General features: G+C 41.0%; 1 protein-coding gene across 36 annotated transcripts in view, besides 2 other annotated features; it reads right to left on the bottom strand.

The window, feature by feature from the left end:
* ARHGAP26 (Rho GTPase activating protein 26) overlaps positions 1-22402 on the bottom strand; it is a 458635-nt gene that overhangs the window by 114787 nt on the left and 321446 nt on the right. Inside the window, exon 18 of one of the 36 annotated variants that reach the window (XM_047416989.1) lies at positions 10266-11036. The exons of the other annotated variants lie outside the window; for them this stretch is intronic. Coding sequence (XP_047272945.1) covers positions 10871-11036 — 166 coding nt within the window. The 3' untranslated portion in view covers positions 10266-10870. Of the gene's footprint in view, positions 1-10265; positions 11037-22402 lie in introns of those variants that run through there. 36 annotated transcript variants of the gene reach the window in all.
* Positions 19383-20143: an enhancer, noted in NCBI's record as "OCT4-NANOG-H3K27ac hESC enhancer chr5:142473647-142474407 (GRCh37/hg19 assembly coordinates)". NCBI's record gives its function as "activates a minimal SCP1, AML or CMV promoter by ChIP-STARR-seq in primed H9 embryonic stem cells {active_cell/tissue: H9 hESC(primed)}" and the evidence as "EXISTENCE:reporter gene assay evidence [ECO:0000049][PMID:30033119]".
* Positions 20144-20905: an enhancer, noted in NCBI's record as "OCT4-NANOG-H3K27ac hESC enhancer chr5:142472885-142473646 (GRCh37/hg19 assembly coordinates)". NCBI's record gives its function as "activates a minimal SCP1, AML or CMV promoter by ChIP-STARR-seq in primed H9 embryonic stem cells {active_cell/tissue: H9 hESC(primed)}" and the evidence as "EXISTENCE:reporter gene assay evidence [ECO:0000049][PMID:30033119]".

Here is a 22402-nt window from a genome sequence, read left to right as displayed (position 1 = left end):
TGTGTACTGACTGAGGCCTGGCTCACCAAACACATTTAACATCTTCCTGGGAATGGTTATCTAGTGAGAAGCCAGACAGGAAGCCTGAAATAATTAATTGAATGCTTATGGTGGGTACTTCTACACAGTGTCTCCTAACAGGAGAACCCTTTGAGGCAGGCAGGTACCACTGTCACTACCACTTTACAAATGAGGAAAGAGAAGCACTGAGAAGGTAAGTAATTGGCTCGAGGTTACACAGCTAACGACGGGCAAAGTCAGGAGGGGAATGAAGTCTGCAGAGTCCATACTCCCAACCCCAGCTCTCTCCTGCTCCCACACCACCAGGGCAAGTCCAACCTACGCTAAAAAGGCATTCTTCTTCCTCAGAAAATTCAACCCAAAATGAAGTCACCGTAGGGGAAAAATCAGTGGTTATAATAGGAAAAAGAGGGCCTCTCCCTCATTCACTTCACAAATCACTAAATTGGAAGAAGTAAAAACAAAAGAGAGAAAGAGCATTTATGCCTGTGGGAGTGATACTGGACTAAACACTGTTTCTTCCTCTTTCTTGCAGCGGAAAATGGCTGCACACTTGACAAAACTATGAAAATGATGAACTACCCTTAAATATGATGGCATTCCATTTATAGCTGGCTGGCACAGTCAGAGCCGGTTCCTAATAATGAAAGAGTGAGCCCTGTAAGATTGAGAGAGGAGGAGAAATTTTAAAAAGGAGGGAAAAATAGCCAAAATGGGTTCTGTAGTCCAAAAAGGAGATAATTATGGCCATATATGCATTCATCCAGGCTGTACTGCTTTCATTCAAGGATGTCAAAGCTCTGTGAATAACTAGCAAAGTGTTCTCTGCTTCTGGGGAAACACATGGCTACATTTCAGATGGGTAAAGAAGGCTGCTGAGATGTTAAGTACTGCTCAGTATTACTTAGGTCCACTTTAACCTCCACTAACAGAGGCCCACTTGGTACTGAAAATTGTTTAGAGAAAAGGAAAAAGGATTTGTCTTAAAAAAAGACAAGATACCTCTTTGCATATAGCTTGCAATCTAACGCAGAGGTATTCTAAAATCTGAGGGTGTAACTAGCTCTATTTCCACTCATCTTCTCTAATTCAACTCCATTCCCTATTTAAAATCTACCAAAGGCTTCTGACTGTTCTAAATTTCAAGTTGAAACTCTTTAGCATCCAGTATGGTAGCTCCTCAAAAAATTAGACTCAGAATTACCATTGATCCAGCAATTTCACTTCTGGGTATATGTGTAAAATAATTGAAAATGGGATCTCAAAGAAGTATTTGTACACCCATTTTTATTGTAGTATTATTCACAATAGTTAAAATGCAGAAGCAACCCAAATGTCTACTGATGGATGAACAGATAAGCAAAATGTGTTACGTACAAACAATATAGTATTATTCAGCCTTAAACAGGAAGGGAATTCTAGCATATACTATGACATGGATGAATCTTGGGGATATTGTGTTAGGTGACATAAGCCAGTCACAGACAGACAAATGTTGTATGATTCTACTGATATGAGGTACTTAAAGTAGTCAAATTCACAGAGTTGAAAAGTAGAAAGATGGTTGCCAGGGGCCAGATGAAAGGGGAATCGGGAGCTTTTGTTTAATGGATACAGAGCTTCGGTTTTACAAGATTAGTTATGGAGATGGATGGTGTTGGTGACTATACACCACCACTGAACTGTACACTTAAAAATAGTCAAGGTAGTAAAGTTTACATTATATGTATTTTACAGTAACAACAAAAATATATTTTCTTAAAGAAAACCCTTGGCAAAGGACCTACAGGATCCAGCTGACCTCTCAAGGCCCTCCTCTACCCAGTCCCTGTACTCTCCCACCTCTGAGCTAAAATTTTCTTTGGGCCTCAGTTCCTTCCTTCCTAATGCTGATCCCCATTCCTGGGCCACTCTGTAGCCCCTCTCCCTCTTGACTTGGCTCTGTCCTCCTTGCCACTCTTCCTCAAAGTGGTCTTTCTGGACACCTCACTCTAGGTCAGGTCCCTTACTATAATTCTAATTCTTCAATTCTCTTTTCTGGTACTTACTGAATTATAAATATACCACCATTCATGGAATTGACATTTTCTGTCTCCCCTACTTAGCAGAGCTCCAAGAGGACAGGTATGTCATCAGCCTCCCTCACTGCCACACGCCAGTGCCTAGCAGTTTGCGTATCATGTGTTGAATGGAAAACAAAGGAACACATGGATGCTGTGGGAGGCCACCTTCTTCTAAGTGTGTCAAGGCTCAGCTGCACTAGGTACCTGGGTTAAACACGTCACCTACTGCTGTCTTAGAGCCTTTGCCAAGCTGGGGGCAGTTGGGGGACGTGGTTGGCCACAGCAGCTCATCCTGACACAGACAGCATATAATGCACTAGGCGTCTCTCCCTGGACAATCTGGAAGGTATAACAGCCAAAAAAATATTTACGAGGTCTAATAATTATTACATGCATTACCTAATATGCATTGTATAATATAGCATGAGCTCACACTACTATACCAGGATCCTTTCAGTACATTTAATAGCTCTCTAAGACAGTGTCTCCTATCTCTCCTTTTCTTTATCCATTTCTGAAATTCCTTTATTTCCTGCCTGTCTTTTATTATTACTAGGATTTCCATCAACAGTAACAGCAACTAACATGAGCTGAGAACTTACTGTGAGCCAGGGATAACCACTCCCTCAATTATCTCATGTGATCTTTAAAATAACCCTAGGAGGGAAATTCCATTAATATCCCAAATGGAGAGGCTGGAGCTCAGACAAATTCAGAAATCTGTCTAAGGTCACATATCTAGAATTTGAGACCAAAAAGTCTGCAGTCTGATTTCAAATCTACTGCTCTTAAATGCTCTAGTATGAGGCAGAGAGAGAGAGAGACTGACAGACAGAGGGAGAGATACAATACATATCCTGTTATTTTATCTCATTTGCTTCTCTTCTTTTCTACATGGCCTAACCTTAAGGAGATCATGGGTCAAAGAAGAACCTGATTATTTTTACAAGGATAATTTGAAAGCAAACAAGAATATTAGGGTCATCTATGTCCACCAACAGTATAAAATCTCTAAGCTTCTCTACTGGTAAATAAACTAATCTGGGTCATGGGAATTACTAGAACCCAAGAAGAATGATACTTTTGCTGTAAGCTGCCTAGTTTTCCAAAATTAGTCATTTAGAGATTAAATAGGCCAACCTGCATTTTATTTGCCCTACATTGTCTCAGCTACCTGGGATTTGAGAAGTCTCATGCACAGGGAAAACACATTCCTTAGATCCAGGGGTTAACTGATTAGCTTTCACCTATCTCATCCTGGACAGTTTAGGCTTCAGCTAGTAGCTGTATTCTTGGTCCCAGTCCACAGGGTGCAGATGGGGAAGAGCAGCATTCACATATAAAAAGACGTGCAGAGAAGCTGACTCAGAAAGCCTTTCTTCCTGGAAAATTACTTAACTATTTTAAATTACATAACAATTCATTCTAAAGTCCAATGTAATTAACATTTGCAAAGCATTTTATAGTTTATAAAATGCTTCCACATTCATTATCATTGATTTATTGATTAGTTCTCACATCTAGAAAAAGATGCCAGAGGGTAAATAGAGGAGGTTTAAAAGTTGCACATGTGTATGCCAGTCTGGTGTTACCAAGTGCTGCAAATGCCGGTTCCTGTTGTTACTGACATTTCCTTCAACCACACAACCTACTACCTTTAAGCTAACATTGTCCCAAAGTCAAGCAAGCCATGGAGACATTGCTTTGGGACTTTCTACCCAACGAAGAAAGTGCAAGGTGACCCAGCACAAAGGCCAAAACTGCAACATCTATTTTTCAATTACCAACTATTTTTTAGCACCCCTTGTGTGCCAGGGACTGCTTTAAGTGCTGGAGATATACTGGTGAACAAGACAGACTCCTCCAGTTTCCTGCCTTAGAGAAGCTTACATTCTTTTGGAGTAGGACAGGCGATAAGCAAAGAAAATATATGGTGCTATGATGAAACAGCCAGCATGAAAGGGATGGGGAGTATAGAGGAAATGTTTGTAGCTTTAGACTGGTGGTCAAGGACATCTCATGGAGAAGGCATGTCTTGCCAAGCCATGAGGACATCTGGGAAGGGAGCTACAGGCAGAGGAAACAGCAGGTACAAACACCTCGGGGTAAGTACCTGGGTGGCATGCTGGTAATGCCAGTGTACCTGGAGCCCAGAGAGCAAGAGGGCAAGTATCAGGAAAAGTCAGAGACATAATGGACTTGAGGGTGGCAAATCCTGGAAAACTTTGCAGGCCACTGTAAAAGCTTTGTTCTTGACTGAGTGAGATGAAAAGCAATTAGAAAATTCTGATCAGAGGGGTAACAGTATTAGTCATCCTCTCTGTAGACTCGGAAAGGTCTCAACTAAGACCTAAATGCTGAAATTCCATAGGTTGCTTAACATTCAAAGAGAGAGAGATATGGCCGGGTGTGGCGGCTTGCACCTGTAATCCCAGCATTTTGGGAGGCTCAGGTGGGCAGATCATTTGAGGCCAGGAGTTTGAGACCAGCCTGGCCAACATGGCAAAACCCCATCTCTACTAAAAATACAAAATGTGGTGTGCCTGTAGTCCCAGCTACTCGGGAAGCTGAGGCAGAAGAATGGCTTGAACCCAGGAGATGGAGGTTGCAGTGAGCTGAGATCGCACCACTGCACTCCAGCCTGGGTGAGAGCAAGACGCTGTCTAAAAAAAAAAATACAAAAACAAAAACAAACAAAAACCAAAAAGAGATAAGAACTTTACAAGCTAGCATAAAACCCAATAAGAGAATTCAAGACATGTACAAACCAGATTACAGTACTGTTCATATTTAATTAAAATGTGTCAGGCCCTGTGCCTTTGCGCCTATATATCTGTGTTAACCTCATAGGTTTCTGCAGTTGTTGCCCATTTTCCTCTTGGTCATTGTGCTGGAGACCTCTACTGGGAAGCCTGGTGGAAGAACAGAATCTTAGCCAAACCTGAACTGGGGCGTAGAGCAGGTAAGAGCTTCTAGGTGCGAGTTACCTGCTACCCAGCTAATAGCCACCCATGATCAGCACCAATATTAATATTTGTAGAGTCCATTGAATTTCACCATTGTAACAATCTTTAATTAGTTAAAATAAACAGCAGTCTTCTGAAACCAGATCCACATTACTAGCACCATTTTACAGATGAAAGGACAGGGACAAAAGGAGCTAAATCAAAGGTTAAGGGACTGGCCCTTAGCCATGTGGCTTAGCTCCAACAGGAACAGTGGCTCTGGGACCCAGCGCTGAGAGCTTGCGCTGAGAGCTTGTCACTTCCCAAGAGATGTAAATCTCATTGCAGCTTCTATGGACATGACCATAATCCTTTCTGGAAGGACTAAGATTCCAAATCCACAGAAGGGTTCATGGGAAATGTTACAGAGAGATGGACAGACTGATAAAGAAGCATACACTCATGAAATACCCACCCTAGGTAACCTATCTCCTTTTGTGGGGATTTTTTAAATGAGGGAAATAACTCATGTGACTGGCATATTTTTGAAATGGAATGTACTTTCACCCCAAAAAGCAAACAGAAAATTACATTCCCTGCCATAAGTCTGAAAAAACACTGGGAGGCTGAAGTTGAAAACGTTAGCTTTATTTCAAGGGCCAGTCTACCAAAGTGACTGGAATTGACAAACCTATATGTCCTGTCACGGTACTTTTAGATTATGTTTGGATATTTGATTAGAAGACAGAAAAAAAACAGTAATGTATGGTGTCCAGAAAAGTTTATGCTCTTCATGTACAAGAGCTGAGACCCCATGGGAAAGTTCTGGAGGTCAATTCATACGGTAAAAGGTGAAAAACATCCTAGAGCTCTAACATCCATGAAAATTACTGGTATAGTACATCCACATTCCATATGTTTACATGTCTAACGCTAATGAATGGAATCCACTGAAAAAGGAATACAAATCTTCACAATCCATAAAAGTTAGAAACAATCTGAATTGATTACACCTTTATATCCCTCTCCTCCTGAAACTCTGTGGCAACACCTCCTAGCTCCTTGCTGCACTAAATCATTATCTCCTAAAATTTCAATGTAAGTTCAAGCCTAAGGGATACAACAGTTCCTCTTATTTATTCATCCATACAAAATAACAGTGTTTATATATAGTGGTACATGTGAGGATTAGAGTGAACACACAAACCCTTCTGTTATATTTATTGCCTTAATCACAAAAATAGATTTGTCAGGGAATGAAGCCAATAAAGTTCTTACTTCAACACATGCAAAGCAAAACCTGATTTATCCTCCTCAAAGGTGGCACAAAGCTGGAAACTCATTGAATTCTGCTACCATGAAAGCAAATTTTAAAATACAGGGTTGACAACAGAAACCAGAGATCCAAGGTGAGCAAACCAACTATCATTAGGCAGAGAAGAGCAGATCGTGTCTGGTAACAAAGACACCGAACGATTCAGAGTGAAGTCGAGATCTGGGTCCCTGATCCACCCAACATTCACACTCTCAGCAAGAGTCACTCACAAAGCCCAAACCTAAACAGATATTTTTCAAAGGGGAAGTCAAAGTGTTTAATGACAAAGTTCTAAAATGCTTTCTATTGTGCAGGCATCACAGCCTGACATCTTAGTTGCTGTCATCTTGCTTTGCCTGGCTCAACAGAAAAGGTGGGTGAAGAAGGCCAAGCTGATGGCAGCTGAGATAGGGGGAGAAATACAGTGTAGGCTACAGTGGCACTTCAAGGACAGAATGATGCACAATTCCCAGCAGAAAAGCCATCAGTAACTGACTTTAGCAGACCAATCTGGAGAGTATATAAATCTACAGAGATGAAACCACTTAATGAATACCAGATCCTTGAGCAAATCTAAACACCTCATCGTGGCCTATACGATCCAGCCCCTGCCTACTGACCCCTCCAACCTCATGTCATACCACCATGCTCTTATTCACAGAGCTCTAACTACCCTGGCCTTCTGTCTGTTCCTAAACACACCAAGTATGCTCACACCCAATACCGACTGAACACCTATGAGATGCCATGCACCCTTCTGGGCACTGGGATAAAGAAGTGAACGAGACTGACAAGATCCCTGCTTTCATTCCGACGGCAAATAACACACAGATACATCAGTAAAAATGTCAGATTACAGAAGTGCCATGAAGAAATCAAACAGAGGTATATGACAAAACCTAAGAGGACCAACTTAGGTAGGCCAGGAAGGCCTCTCTAGGGAAGAGACCTGTGAGCTGAGCCCATTAATCAAACAGTGCAGTCCAGAAGTCTACAGCCTAGAGGCAGACAACAAATCACACCCTCATACACCTAGGCAATAATAAGTTGTATCTTCAACCACAAGCATCAGCAATGCCTGCCTGAGACCGCTTTAAAATGAAGCCCAGGCTGGGTGCAGTGGCTCATGCCTGTAATCCCAGCACTTTGGAAGGCCGAGGTGGGTGGATCACCTGAGGTCAGGAGTTCGAGAGCAGCCTGACCAACATGGAGAAACCCTGTCTCTACTAAAAATACAAAAATTAGCTGGGCGTGGTGCCACGTGCCTGTAGTCCCAGCTACTCGGGAGGCTGAGGCAGGAGAATCGCCTGAACCCGGGAGGCGGAGGTTGCCATGAGCTGACGTTGCACCACTGCACTCTAGCCTGGGTGACAGATTGAGACATCACCTCAAAAAAAAAAAAAAAAAAAAAAAAGCCCAATGCATTGTATTCCAAAGGAGTTCACTTCCTTTTCCATGGGAATTCTGAAGTCTGTGTCAACAGCTGCTAAGTACAACTGGAAGCTGTGCAATCGTTGCCACCATGTGGTTACCCGCACAATGATGCGAACACCCTGTGGCTTCTGGCTGCTCCTCCTGCCCATCTCTGCAGCCTCAACCCATTTAGGAAGCAGCTCCTCCCAAAAACATGTCACTAATAGATCCCACTGCTCAGTCTTCCATACAGAAGGCCATCTTCCAGAAATTTACATCAAGGAGAAAGCCACACCACAATCCTGTTGCTATGTACCAGCATTTAGCTGGATTATATAAAGAGCTAAGTAATCATTAAGTAAGGGTGGGAAACAAGACAAACAACAAAAGAAAAAGTCACCCTTTAAAAAGACCCTTTGGGCTTGGTAAACTTGTGGGGAGAGGAAGAAACACAGTTCAGGGAGTCCTGCTACTCTGCGAAAAGTCAGGATTCAAATAGTTCATTATAAAAATGACCAAAAAAAAAAATCACTCATACTTGTACTCACCAAAAAAAGTCTCTTCTCTATTTGGCAATGGAAAATAAAAATTGGTACTTAAAAACAAACAGTGAGTGGCTTCAAGAAATGAGTTAATAAATCCTACACGTTACTTTCCCATAACGCCCCGGTGCAGCTACATGTTCTTCAGACTTCTGACGCACTGAAGAGAGGATGCCTACAGCCACGAACCTTGGTGATCAGCAGAATGCACACGTGGCATTTTCAGACATGCAGACAGATGCCACTCCCGCCAGGAACACAGTGCTGCAAGGCTATGAGACCTGTACCAAGGCTATGACACATGTACTTATATACCTGTACACACATGTCCACACACAAACGTCTACCCGGATGCATACCCCTTAAACATATATACACCCACATATGATTCCCACACACAGAAGAAAACTTACGCAATAAAATGCTTCTATCTTCGTTAAGACAGAATCATGTAATGACATTAGCTAATGTCAGTTTGGTCTTTAGGTTAGACCTATTTTTATATTTATTTATTTATTTATTTATTTATTTATTTATTTATTTATTTTTGAGATGGAGCTTCGCTCTTGTTGCCCAGGCTGGAGTGCAATGGCGCAATCTTGGCTCACACAACCTCCGCCTCCCGGGTTCAAGCGATTCTCCTGCCTCAGCCTCCTGAGTAGCTAGGATTACAATCATGTGCCACCATGCCTAGCTAATTTTTTGTATTTTTAGTAGAGACAGGGTTTCTCCATGTTGGTCAAGCTGGTCTCAAACTCCCGACCTCAGGTGATCCGCCCACCTTGGCCTCCCAAAGTGCTGGGATTATAGGCATGAGCCACCACACCCAGCCGATTAGGCCTATTTTTAAATAGCTTACCCTTTACTCTTTCTTTCAGTGCTATCGTTAGGGGGAAAAAAAGATACATGTTTTCTCTTTTATTTTCTGATAAATGAAAGTATTTACTGTGGAATAACTGATACAAAGCACAAAGAAAATAAAAATCACCAGTGATTCTACCATCCAGAAATAACTAAATGTTATTCAATGTTTTAAGGTATACGTGTCACATTCCATGTTTTTTTCAGACACACACACACTCATATTTCAAATCAAGTTGGAATCATACTGCAGACACCTAGTTTTATAACTTGTTTTTTACTGCATTACTATGAACTTTTCAAGTACCATTCATTGTCTCACTCAACATTGTTATGGTGGCACAGTGTTTCACTGTATGGGTATTCGATAATTTAGAAATCTCCCGTTATTGGACAGTCAGATTGTTTCCAATATTTTATTGTTTCCACTAATATTGCAGTGAATCTCTATGTACACAAATATGTGCATATATCTTTCTTTCCCTAGAATAAATTCATAGAAATAGAATTTCTGGATGAAAGGGCATACTTTTTTTGTTTTGTTTTGTTTTTTTGAGACAGGTTCTCACTCTCTCGCCCAGACTGGAGTGCAGTGGTGTGATCTCGGCTCACTGCAACCTCAGCCTCCCAGGCTCAAGCGATTCTCCTGCCTCTGTCTCCCAGGTAGCTGGGATTACAGGTGCGTGCCACTACCTGCAGGGTAATTTTTGTATTTTTAGTAGAGATGGGGTTTCACCATGTTGGTCAGGCTGGTCTCAAACTCCTGACCTCAAATGATCCACCTGCTTCGGCTTCCCAGAGTGCTGGGATTACAGGCGTGAGTCACTGTGCCTAGCCAGCATAAATATTTTTAATAGATATTACCAAACTGTCACCCATGAGATCTATGTCAATTTACATTCCCACCTAGAAAATTTTAATATGCCCATTTCCCTAGGACCTTTATTTTTCCTTTTGGTGCTTTCACTAGCACCAAAATAAGGTATTGCTATTTTGAAAGCTTTTATCTTAAGTTTCATTTCTCTCTTTTTTTTTTTCTCTAGGTCTATCCATGTTGTAACAAATAGCAGGATCTCCTTTTCTAAGGTTGAATAATATTCCATTGTGTGTATATATATATATTTTTATTATACTTTAAGTTCTGGGATACACGTGCAGAATGTGCTGGTTACATAGGTATACATGTGCCATGGTCGTTTGCTGCACCCATCAACCCGTCATCTACATTAGGTATTTCTCCCAAGGTTATCCTCCTCTTCCCCCTACCCCCTGTTAGGTCCCGGTGTATGCTGTGCCCCTCCCTGTGCCCATATGTTCTCACTGTTCAACTCCCACTTACGAGTGAGAACATGCAGTGTTTGGTTTTCTGTTCCTTCTCTTAGTTTGCTGAGAATGGTTTCCAGCTTCATCCATGTCCCTGCAAAGGACATGAACTTATTCTTTTTTATGGCTTCATAGTATTCCATGGTGTATATGTGCCACATTTTTTTTTTTATCCAGTCTAACATTCATGGGCATTTGGGTTGGTTCCAAGTCTTTGCTATTGTGAACAGTGCTGCAATAAACATACGTGTGCATGTGTCTTTACAGTAGAATGATTTATAATCCTTTGGGTATATACCCAGTAATGGGATTGCTGGGTCAGATGGTATTTCTAGCTCTGGATCCTTGAAGAATTGCCACACTGTCTTCCACAATGGTTGAACTAATTTACACTCCCACCAACAGTGTAAAATCGTTCCTATTTCTCCACATCCTCTCCAGCATCTGTTGTTTCCTGACTTTTAAAAGTTTCATTTCTTTGAAGAGTAATGATATTGAACTTTTTCCCATGTCTACTGATCCAGTGACTTTTAAGGTCCCAGGCACAATTAGTCTGCAGCAAAGCAAATCAAAAGAACAGGTAAAGAAGACGACATACCAGGCAAGGATGGCACCTTAGTTCTACATTTTAAAAATTTAATAAAGCTCTACACCTATTAAGGTATCCTTGTGTTTATAATCCATATATCTTTCACAAATTTTCATGGGGAAGAAAAATAGTTGGGAGATGTCAGATCCCCCCTGTGAAGCTGGGCAGACTCCACCAGACTCCACCATGGCACTTGGGAGGCATTATATAAACGTTTGTGGCTACCACAGAGACCAAAAATGGATTGTGCTGCCTCTTCCCTGGTCTATTTCATAGAGGCACTGGGATGCTGTAAGGACAAAGCAAGCAAGGGAGGTGAAAAAAGTACTGAAAATTATCAAGGGCTGTACAAAGCACAATGATAAGGAGAAGGAGGAGGAGAACTAATTTAAACAGAAGTTTCAAAGAGGCAGGATTGGAGTATATGCAGAGAACGTTATTAGTGAAGAATGCTTTGGTAAGAAAGCAAGCTTTCTCCTCTGGTATTTCATGAGCTGTGCAATGAAAGAGTCTCTGTCTCCCTAGAGCCCGGATGGGCGACGCAACAGGCACAGGGGTGTAACCAGGCCACAAAGTCCCAAACGCCAACTTTTAATTGTGTGACCGGCATGGGTCCAGCAGTGATTAGCAGAACCAAGCACTGTTGCTCAAGCTTTATGAGGATCAGCATTCTGAGTTAGGGGAGGAAAAAGATTGCCTCTGATAAGAACTTGTTCTAGGAGAGTCAAACAAGCACCCCTTTTCTGCATGTTTGGGGCCGACACTGAGGTCTTTAATGAAGGGAAACCTCTGAAAGAAATGGAGGTGGCATTTCTAGGAAGACCTGCCAGGGGAGACTCACACTCTGGTACTTGCTAGTGGAACAGACTGAAGTTTATCAGGAGGGAGCCCCAGGCCTGGAAGGCAGGAAGTGAAGAGAAGAGGGAGGGATATCTGGGCTGGAGCAGAGCAGTCTCCCCAGCCAGGCGCGCACTGTACGGGTTCTCTGTGAGATGTAGAGAGGGTCCCTTACTCACGGTCCTGCTGTCTATATCACTCAGAAACAAAACCACCACCAACCTACCCAGTTCCACTTACCACATAGTTTTGAATCATGGAAAAGGCTAGTAATTACTACAAAAAAAACATGCTGCAGGCTCCTGGGGCTCCTGGCTATTGTTTCATGTTCTCCAGACTCCAGTTCTATCAGCGCCACCACAGCCCCTAAGGAAAATAGAACCTGTTGCCATAGTAGCTGCTTCCCCCTTTTTAAGGAAGGCACACTCTAAGCCATTATGGAAGAAAAAAAAAAAAAAAGCTTTTATGTCATATGACGAACTTTCCCTTCTCCAGCTTCTCTCCCTATCTTGTCCAGTTAAATTTTGTGTAGAACATGCAGCAGAAATTGAAATGTCGACATTTCCATTAAGCAATGACAAAAAAATTAATCCAGTTCCCAGAGAGAGGGAGGTAGGAAGCAATTGTTCAAGGCAACAGTGTGTGTGTCTGTTTCAGGGAAATTAAAAAAAAAAAAGAAGGGAAAAGTAATTAAAGAAAGATATTACCTGAAGAGCATTATATCTGACAAACACCAAAGCACTGCCTGGTTGGATGTTAAGGAAAGGAGAGGGAAAAAAATCAGAAATGGTGACACCTGATGAGAAGGAGTCACCCCCAAAGAGCTAAGAAAACAATCACCTTTTGTTAATAAAAACCAAAGGAAAGAGTGAGGACTGTATGAAGGCCCAGGAAAGACACATTTAAGGCCCACTCCCTGAGCAGAAATAGAAGGTGTATGGGGCCACAACCCTACATCAAGAGACCTGTTGGTCCCCAGCACTGAAAGTGAAACAAAAAATTATGAGAAAGAGAAATGACACACTCGAACCAGAGTAATTTTCTGTTTTGCCCTCATCTCTAAAAATGCATCCTTCCTGCCAGACTCATTCTCATTCCTTCCTAACTCTCTTGCAATGATCCAAGAGAGAGGTGTTCTGGCATATGACGCATTCTCAGTGATGCTTCTCAAGTGAAGAATGGCTTCAGAACTCTTTGGTTTTTTGTTTGTTTGTTTGTTTTTTGAGATAGAGTCTTGCTTTGTTGCCCAGGCTGGAGTGTAGTGACACAATGTTTGTTCACTGCAACCTCCGCCTCCCAGGTTCAAGCCATTCTCCTGCTTCAGCCTCCCAGGTAGCTGAGATTACAGGCACACGTCACCACACTCAGCTAGTTTTTCAATTTTTTTAGTAGAGACAGGGTTTCGCCATGTTGGCCAGGCTGGTCGCGAACTCTTGACCTTAAGTGATCCTCCCGCATTGGCCTCCCAAAGAGCTGGGATTACAGGCATGAGCCACCGTGCATGGCCTCTATTTGAGTCCAGAAAATGGAGATACATGTACCCATTCATACTAGAAAGGAGAAGCAAAGGAGCACCTTATGAAAATCAAGTGCATGCCTAAGGTAAACAGACTTCATTTCCTGCCCACAAAGCCAGCAGAGTCCCTAAGGAGACTGCCAAGCAGTGACTACCTGGGTTTTATGTCCAAAACCTAAAACTGGAAGAAAGGAAGCTACGCTTCCCAAATTCACACCATGGGAGGTGATTAAGCTGAAAATCAGAGGTGATACCGTAAGTACAAGAAACAATGTCCAGTTGTAAATCCCACATCTACGGGATGTTGGTGTAAAACTACTTTCACAGCAGAGAAGAAAGTCTGCATCATTTAACTTGCTAGTGTTACCAGGATTTATGGTGCCAAGGATAAGGCTAGTGACTGGATGTTCCTTCGCTATTTCCCACACAATGTAGGCCATGGCTGTTTGGCTCTTATTTATTATTCAAGGGTTGTTCTTTATGGATTTTCCCTTTGTGTATACAAGAAGTATTCTGCAGCTTCTCTAGGATGAGTATTTGTGTGGACTTATTTACCTTTATTTTTCTTTTCAGAAGTGGCTGTGATACTGAACCTGATATTTCACGTCTCTCAATTTTAGAAAATTCTCAGCCATTCTCTTCAAATATGACCTCTTCCCATTTGCTCTAGTCTCACCTGGAGCTCCCATAGCCATATTTTGGACCTTCTCATACTGCCTTTCATGTATCTTCAAGTGTTTTCTATTTCATTATTTCCCTGGACTGCATTCTGGCAAATTGTCTGAAGTTATTTTCCTGTTTGCTCAGTCTTGCATCTACTTTGGTTAGTCTGATATTTATTGCATCAGCTATGTTTTTAATTTCAACAATATTTAAAAATTTCTGTACCTTCTAGTTGGTTCTTTCAAATATGCCTGTTCTTTTGGTTTTAATCCCTTATTATTGTTTTTATTTTTGAAACATAACTATTTTATGGTCTCAATGGAATTTTTCTATTATGATTTTATTCTTGAAGTTCTTGGGTTTTGATATTCCCCCACATTGCTTCCCGCTATTGCCACCACTCTAGCTAATGGTGGGTTACTTCCTTGTGTGTTTATAATTTTGGACTTATCAGCAGAGGAACTTCACTTATGGAAATCCTAAATAACACAGGTTAAGTGCACACAGAGTGAGTATACAAGAGGTATCACTGAGTGACACTGCGAAAATGAATTTGAATGTGGTTACAAATTTCCTTACAGATGCCAGGCTGAGATAGAAAAATAAATTCCCTATTGAATCCCTGTGCTAGAAAGTAGATTTTTTATCTCGTCCATCCTTTCAATGATGGTGAGGCCTGTCAAGGATCCCTGATTAAGGTAGGGTCTCAGTTCCAACTTCTTCCACCCCACAAGTGGTCCCCATGTCTCACCCTCATTCTCACATGGTTTTGAAATCCAAGTTAACCAACACTGGCAATTCTATATTCCTCTACCTGTGCCCCCCACCTGCCCAGGGCAGCTATGTTGTCAGCTTAGGTCCTTACTTTCTGGGAATATAATTTTTTAGGGATATGTAAGTTTTGCTTAACTTACGCTATTTACTATGAATGAAGACTCAGCTTCTGCAAAGATAGATATCAAACTAAGTTAAAATTGGTATGTTTGCAAATTATTTTTGTCTGGTAGAGATGCAAATAACTTCTGTCCAGCAGAAAAGATAATCTCAAAAGTTGAGGTTTTATTGCCCTACAGAACATTAACCAGTTTTAAATCAAACTTTGTGACCTTTTTTCAGCATTGTGTCTTTCATTGGACATATAAACAAGCCTCTGCTGTCCTCTTTTGAAGCCACTTTCTATTTCTACTGGTAGCCTCATAGACCTTTGACGTGTTTATTCTATACTATACTTTCACAAAGTCATGTTTAAAAAATATTTTTAAAGTTATACTTTAACACTAACCCTATTTATTGAATGTTCATCAAGTTTAAGGCAATGTGTTAATTTCTTAATATGTGTTATACTATTAAATTCATTTTCTATGAGGGAGAAGTTATTACTCCAATTTGAAAGATGAAAAAACTGAGGCTCGGAGGAATTGAATACTTAGCAAGGTTGTCACCTAGCTAAGAAAGAACAGATCCATGATTCAAGTCCAATCTTCATGTTTTTTTCTCTTTGCAATATTATGGGCTGAATATTGTTTTCCTATCATGTCTACCCACTGTTGATAATATTATAAAGAATTGGTCTTTCTCTTTTCTAGATAAAATAATTCAGCTAATGTAGATTAAAATTACACTAGCTTTTGAGGGTAGATTGATCAATCTGTTGTTTCATGCTGACCTTACTGTCAATTAAACTTCCCATACTAATTATTCCCAAGAACTGGTTTTAAGTCAAACTTGAATTCACCATTAAGAGTAACATACTTGTACAAAATATAACAAAATTTAATTTAAAAATTAAAAAAATCACCTACGTTATTGTTAAAATGACATTGCGGAATTGTATGCTTAGAAGGAATTGGCTTTTTAAAATACCATTTAACAGTTATGCTATCCAATGTAAATATTAAAGAAGAATACATGGTCTGAACCCTAACATTAGAACTTATGGTCAAATATGTCAAGCACAGCTGTAGAACAAGAATTTAAAGGAGGCTTAAAATGAGAATTCTAAGCTTGAAACTCCAAATTATTTAATTAGGTTCTCAAGTAGAACAAAATTGAGGCAGCGCTATTATAAAGGAAGAGTTCTTCTGTATAGTAAAAACTGTATGGAATTCTGAGAAGATTCCAAGGCAGAACTACAACTTTTTAAAAATTGGAATTCTACAAATAATTCATTAAAAAAACCTCCAGACTTTTACAACCAATACAAAATATGTCCCACTGAACGTTGTCACCAAATGAAATATGTCAGAGACATCTGAATTAAAAAATCTTAGACATCAGTAGGTTGCGTGGGGTAATTTTCTTTTTTTTTTTTTTTTGAGTTGGAGTCTCGTTCTGTCACCCAGGCTGGCATGCAGTGGCGCAATCTTGGCTCACTGCAAGCTCCGCCTCCCAGGTTCATGCCATTCTCCTGCCTCAGCCTCCCGAGTAGCTGGGACTAAAGGTGCCTGCCACCACATCCAGCTAATTTTTTTTGTATTTTTAGTAGAGACGGGGTTTCACCGTGTTAGCCAGGGTGGTCTCAATCTCTTGACCTCATGATCCACCCGCCTCGACCTCCCAAAGTGCTGGGATTACAGGCGTGAGCCACCGCGCCCGGCCATTGCATAAGGCAATTTTCACATTAGCTCTGCTTCAACAGAATTTGTCAAATTCTCAGGAAGGTAAATGACGACTTCTATAGAATTAGGTAAAGTTACCTGAATGTACTCACAGGGAATTTCCCTCTGATTTGTACTTTACAGTCAGATATGCTCTTTTTTTTTTTTTTTTTTTTTTTCTTTTTTTTGAGACGGAGTCTCTCTCTGTTGCCCAGGCTGGAGTGCAGAGTACAGTGGTACAATCTCGGCTCACTGCAACCTCCACGTCCCAGGTTCAAGCGGTCCTCCTGCCTCAGCCGCCTCCCCTGCCCCACCCCAGATTACAGGCACGCACCACCATGCCCAGCTAATTTTTGTATTTTTAGTAGAGACGGGGTTTCGCCATGTCGGCCAGGCTGGTCTCAAACTCCTGACCTTAAAAGATCCTCCCGCATTGGTCTCCCAAAGAGCTGTGATTACACGCATGAGCCACCGCGCATGGTCTGTATTTGAGTCCAGAAAATGGAGATACATGTGATCCATCTGCCTTGGCCTCCCAAAGTGCTGGGATTACAGGCGTGAGCCACCGCACCCGGCCCAGACATGCTTCTTTTAAGAGGTGGCTAGAATGAGGATATTATGTTCTCTAGGCCATACAAAGCTATTTTGTGATTTTTATTTTCTTTAGGACAGTGGTTCTCTGTTGGTCCATTAACTACGGGGAGGTTTCCAACACCCTTCAGGGGTTCCATGAGATGCAAAAAAAAGATAAGTTGAACTGTGATGCTTCGCATGAATCTAGACAGTGGTACCAAGTTATACCAATAGTCATTGTATTCTTCACTGCTACACACTCACAGATTAAAAAAAAAAAAAGCCTAGCTTTACTTGATAAATGAGCAAAATTATTAATTTTATTTAATCCTGACCCTTTAGCACACCTTTTATATAATAACGAAGGAGGAAAGGTGCATAAAGCACCTCTGCTGCATACTGAAGTTGACTTGAGGGAAAGCAGTTGTGCGACTGAGTTGCAAGCTGAACCTCTTTTTTCATGAAACACCATGTAAACGTAAAAGAATAACTGACAGACAAAATATGGTTACTGACACTTGGGTATTTGGCAGACACTTTCTCAGAAATGAACCAAGTGAGTGTCTACTTTAAGGAAAACAGTAATATTTGTTGCAATGATAAAATTTATGCTTTCAAGAAAACGTCATAATTTTAGAAAATCTGGATCTGCACCACGAGCATGACAACTTCCCAATATTTAATGACTTTTTAAAATAAGTGGTGATATTAACAAATGTAATTTTTTGATGTTATATGATGTAATATGTTTGCATTGGAAGATCTGCATAACGCAGTTTACTAATATTTTCTAAATGAGCAATGTAGGCTAAGAAAAAATCATGCATAAGTAAAAGATCCACTCAAAGTACAAGGTAGGTCAATAGATCTTAATGTAACTGCATGTGAACAATTCACTAACATGATTTTATTTTTTCACATTGTAATAATTTTTTTAAAAAATTACCACTTGTTGAATGTTGGTAGAGTTTTAAAAAAAGAATATCCAAAATTATCTGAAAAGGCTACTAAAAATATTTCTTCCTTTTCCGACTATATGCATATGCTAGGACTGATTTTTGTATGACAATAGATTGAGTGAAGAAGAAGATATGAGGCCTGGAGCAGTGGCTCATGCCTATAATCCCAGCACTTTGGGAGGCTGAGGCAGGTGGATCACCTGAGGTCAGGAGTTTGAGACAGCCTGGCCAACATGGTGAAACCCCATCTCTACCAAAAATACAAAAATTAGCTGGGCATGGTGGCGGGTGCCTGTAATCCCTGCTACCCAGGAGGCTGAGGCATGACAACTGCTTGAACCCAGCTGGGAGGTGGAGGTTGCAGTGAGCCAAGATTGCAGCACAACACTCCAGCCTGAGAAAAAAAGAAGATATGATTTATCCAGTCATCTTCCATTAAGTCAGACATTAAGGAGATTTACAAAAATGTAAAATGTCATTTAATAAATTCATAAATAAAGCTTTAAAATTGTTTTAGTTTTAATTTCCAATACTGTAAAACATAAACAGATAGAATCCACATAGACAAAGGCTGTTGAAGTCCTTAATAAATTTTAAGAGCGTAAAGAGGTGCTGAGACAAAAAGGTTTAGAACTGCTGAGTTAAGAATATAGTATCTTGAACAGGGTTTCATTTGGGAGTGATGAAAATGTTTTGACTTAGAGGGAATGGTTGCATAATACTGTCAATGTACTAAATCCCATTGAATTGTATACTTTAAAATGGCTAATTTATGTTAAGTGAATTTCACCTCAATAAAAAAATTGTATGTGACTGTGTATATATGTTTTTATACATATATATTATATAGTAATATATAATGAATATATGAATATATCTAAAATGAATGTATATATGTAAGAATATATTATCTTAGAACCCATAAGTCAAAAGTCCAGGTGATATGGTACAATTTCCTTTCACAGAATTAAAACCAAGAGACATGAGTCTATTTATTGTTAGATATAAATTCTAAATTTCTTTTCAAATAATCAGTATGTCAGTATGTTCAATTCTTTGCCTTCTACTTTTAAACTTAACTTCCTCTTAAAGCAACCTTTTTTGATTACCTACTCCACCCTGACTCATTCCGATTACCTGCTCCACCCCGACTCATTCCCATTACCTGCTCCACCCTGACTCATTCTGATTACCTGCTCTGTCATAGCCATTTTCCCCCCAAACCACTCACCCCATCACTCTCTTTAAATTAGCCAATTGGAATTAGTTTAGCCTGTGCTGTCTAACCCTAGCCAATAGGGGAATGACATAGCAGCAGGGGCCACACGTGTCAGGGATAAGAAGGCTTTCCCCTCCCTTGTCCAAGTGTGTGCTCACCATTGTTCCATCTGTAAGGGCACATCCTTCTATACAGAGGTACCATGCCTTGCTGAGAATTAAAAAGAAAATTTTATATTCAAGTGCTATTCCTTTTGTGGCACTGAAACTTTACATATAACAATTAGGGGCTGCTCTGGGATTACGTTCCCCTCTGGGGGCGGTCTCTGGTTCTCTTTCGTGAGGAGGTGCACCCCACCCCCTTGTGGCAGCCTCAGGGGTGAGAAATCAAGACCCACCCAGTGCGAGGAATAACCTGAGCTCTCAGCAACGCGAGGGAAAAAAGAAACTGACCAGCAACCTAGCTTAAAGGATCCTCACATACTGTGGCAACGACTCTGTGCACAGACCAAGGAAGGAGATGCCACGGGAGGCAGTAAGGTATTTCCTTGGTGGTCCGGACTAAGGAAAAAGACACCACGCAGCAAAGCATTCCTTGGTTAGGACATACTAAGGAGAAAGAAACCGCAGGGGCGGTAAAGCATTCCTTAGTCGGGATTAGGGAAAGAAAGCCGCGGGGGCGGGGGAGTGGTGGTGAAGTATTCCTTAGTCGGGATGTCTTGGAGGTTAAAAAGAGGTGAGAAGTCCCCATGAGGAGGTGGGAGCTGAATCTCAAAAACAGGGGAGAAATCCCCATGGGGGGGCGTTGAACTTCAACAAGAGGTGAGAAATCCCCATGGGGTGCGTTGAACCTCAAAAAGAGGCGAGTAATCCCCATGAAGTGGGAGTTGAACCTCTAAAAGAGGTGAGAAATCCCCATGGTGTGGGGTTGAACCTCACAAAAATCTCTGGTAGTAAGAAAAATATTCAGAACCCCCCTTTCCTTTCTTCTCAGAGGAAGAAAGAGTAGCTCCACTCCCGCTGGTCCCTCCCCTAGGGGAAGGGGAAGGAGAGGGGAGAACAGTAGCATAAGTGGTTGGCAGAGGCAGGGAAAGACTAGCAGAGAGGAGAAAGGGGGAAAGAGAGAGAGAGAGGAAAGAAAGAGAGAAAGAGGCAGAGAGAGAGAGGAGGAGACAAAGATGGAGTCAAAGACAGAGAGAAAGAGTGAGGCAGAGAGAGAGAAAGAGAGACACAAAGAGGGAGTCAAAGAGAGAAAGAGACAGAAAGTCAAAGAGAGAAAGAAAGAGAGAGAGATAGAAATAGTAAAGAGAAAACAGTGTACCCTATTCCTTTAAAATCCAGGGTAAATTTAAAACCTATAATTGATAATTGAAGGTCTTCTCCTGACCCTATAACACTCCAATACCACCTTGTTGTCAGTGTAAACAAGGCCCGAAAGCACTGAGGCCACTGACAACCAGTAGCCTTCCTATCAAAAATCTTTAACCTAGTAACCCGCAGATGGCCCAAATGCATTCAACCTGTAGCGGCAACTGCTTTGCTAACAGAAGAAAGCAGAAAGTCTAAAAAGACTTTTAGAGGAAACCTCATTGTGAGCACACCTCATCAGATCAGAACTACCCTAAGTCCAAAAAAAAAAAAAGCAAAAAGGTAGCTTAGTGACTCAAGAACCTTAACATATAAAGCTATTCTGTTAGAAAAAGATGATTTAACATTAACCACTAAAAATTCCCTTAACCCAGCAGGTTTCCTAACAGGGGATCTAAATCTTAATTACCATACAAAGGTCCGAGCAGACCTAGGAGGAACTCCCTTCAGGACAGGACGATAGATGGTTCCTCCCCGGTGATTGAGGGAAAAAGACACAGTGGGTATTCAGTAAGTGATAAGGAAACTCTTGAAGAAGCAGAGTTAGGAAAATTGCCTAATAATTGGTCTGCTCAGACGTGGGAGCTGTTTGCACTCAGTCAAGCCTTAAAGTGCTTACTGAATCAGGAAAGAGCCATCTATACCAATTCTAAGTTAATATGGACTGAACGAGGTCTTATTAATAGCAAAGAATAATTGAAATCCCAAACTTAAAAGGTTTTCAACAAAAGTAAAGTTTGCTAAAAGTTAACAGTGTAACATGTATTATCCTAACTTCTAATCTTGTGGCCTTAGACAGTCTAGTCCACCTACGTGAAGGAAGTTCACTTTGGAAAAGCATGGTTATCATTTTTGAGAAAAAAAAAGGTGGGGGGGGGAGAATTTATGTAAAAAGGAATGTTATATGGTGAATTCTTATCCTAAAATAAATTAACTGGTTGTTTAAAGAACGGGATGTGGCCGGGTGCAGTGGCTCACGCCTGTAATCCCAGCACTTTGGGAGGCCGAGGTGGGCGGATCACGAGGTCAGGAGATCGAGACCATCCTGGCTAACATGGTGAAACCCTGTCTCTACTAAAAATACAATAAAATTAGCCAGGCATGGTAGCGGGTGCCTGTAGTCCCAGCTGCTCAGGAGGCCGAGGCAGGAGAATGGCGTGAACCTGGGAGGCGGAGCTTGCAGTGAGCCGAGATCGTGCCACTGCACTCCAGCCTGGGCGAGAGGGAGACTCCATCTCAAAAAAAAAAAAACAAAAAAAAAAACAAAGGGATGTTTGCAACAAGTCAGAAAGTTGAGGCATGTCGAAGAATTGTCTGTAAAAGTCATGAAAAAAAGTTATAAAAGGGAATTTATGCAAGAAATATTGTATAATTTAAAAGTAATTAGGCCTCCTGAATGTAAAACTATTGAAGAAACAGTTTATGTGCAAGGTGTATAAGGAAAGTAAAATAAAACTTTGGTAAAAGGATTATAAGGAGGCATAAGAATGTGGATTTCTACCTACATTAAAAGGTTAAAAATATATATTTTGTTTTAAAGGTTTAAGCAAGTTTTGAAACATTCATTGTAAAGGAAATTCCGTGTGTAAACATATTGGC

Source organism: Homo sapiens, chromosome 5, assembly GCF_000001405.40.
Source record: "Homo sapiens chromosome 5, GRCh38.p14 Primary Assembly".
Classification (NCBI taxonomy): Eukaryota; Metazoa; Chordata; class Mammalia; order Primates; family Hominidae; genus Homo; species Homo sapiens.
This window is presented reverse-complemented; position numbering and strand designations above follow the sequence as displayed.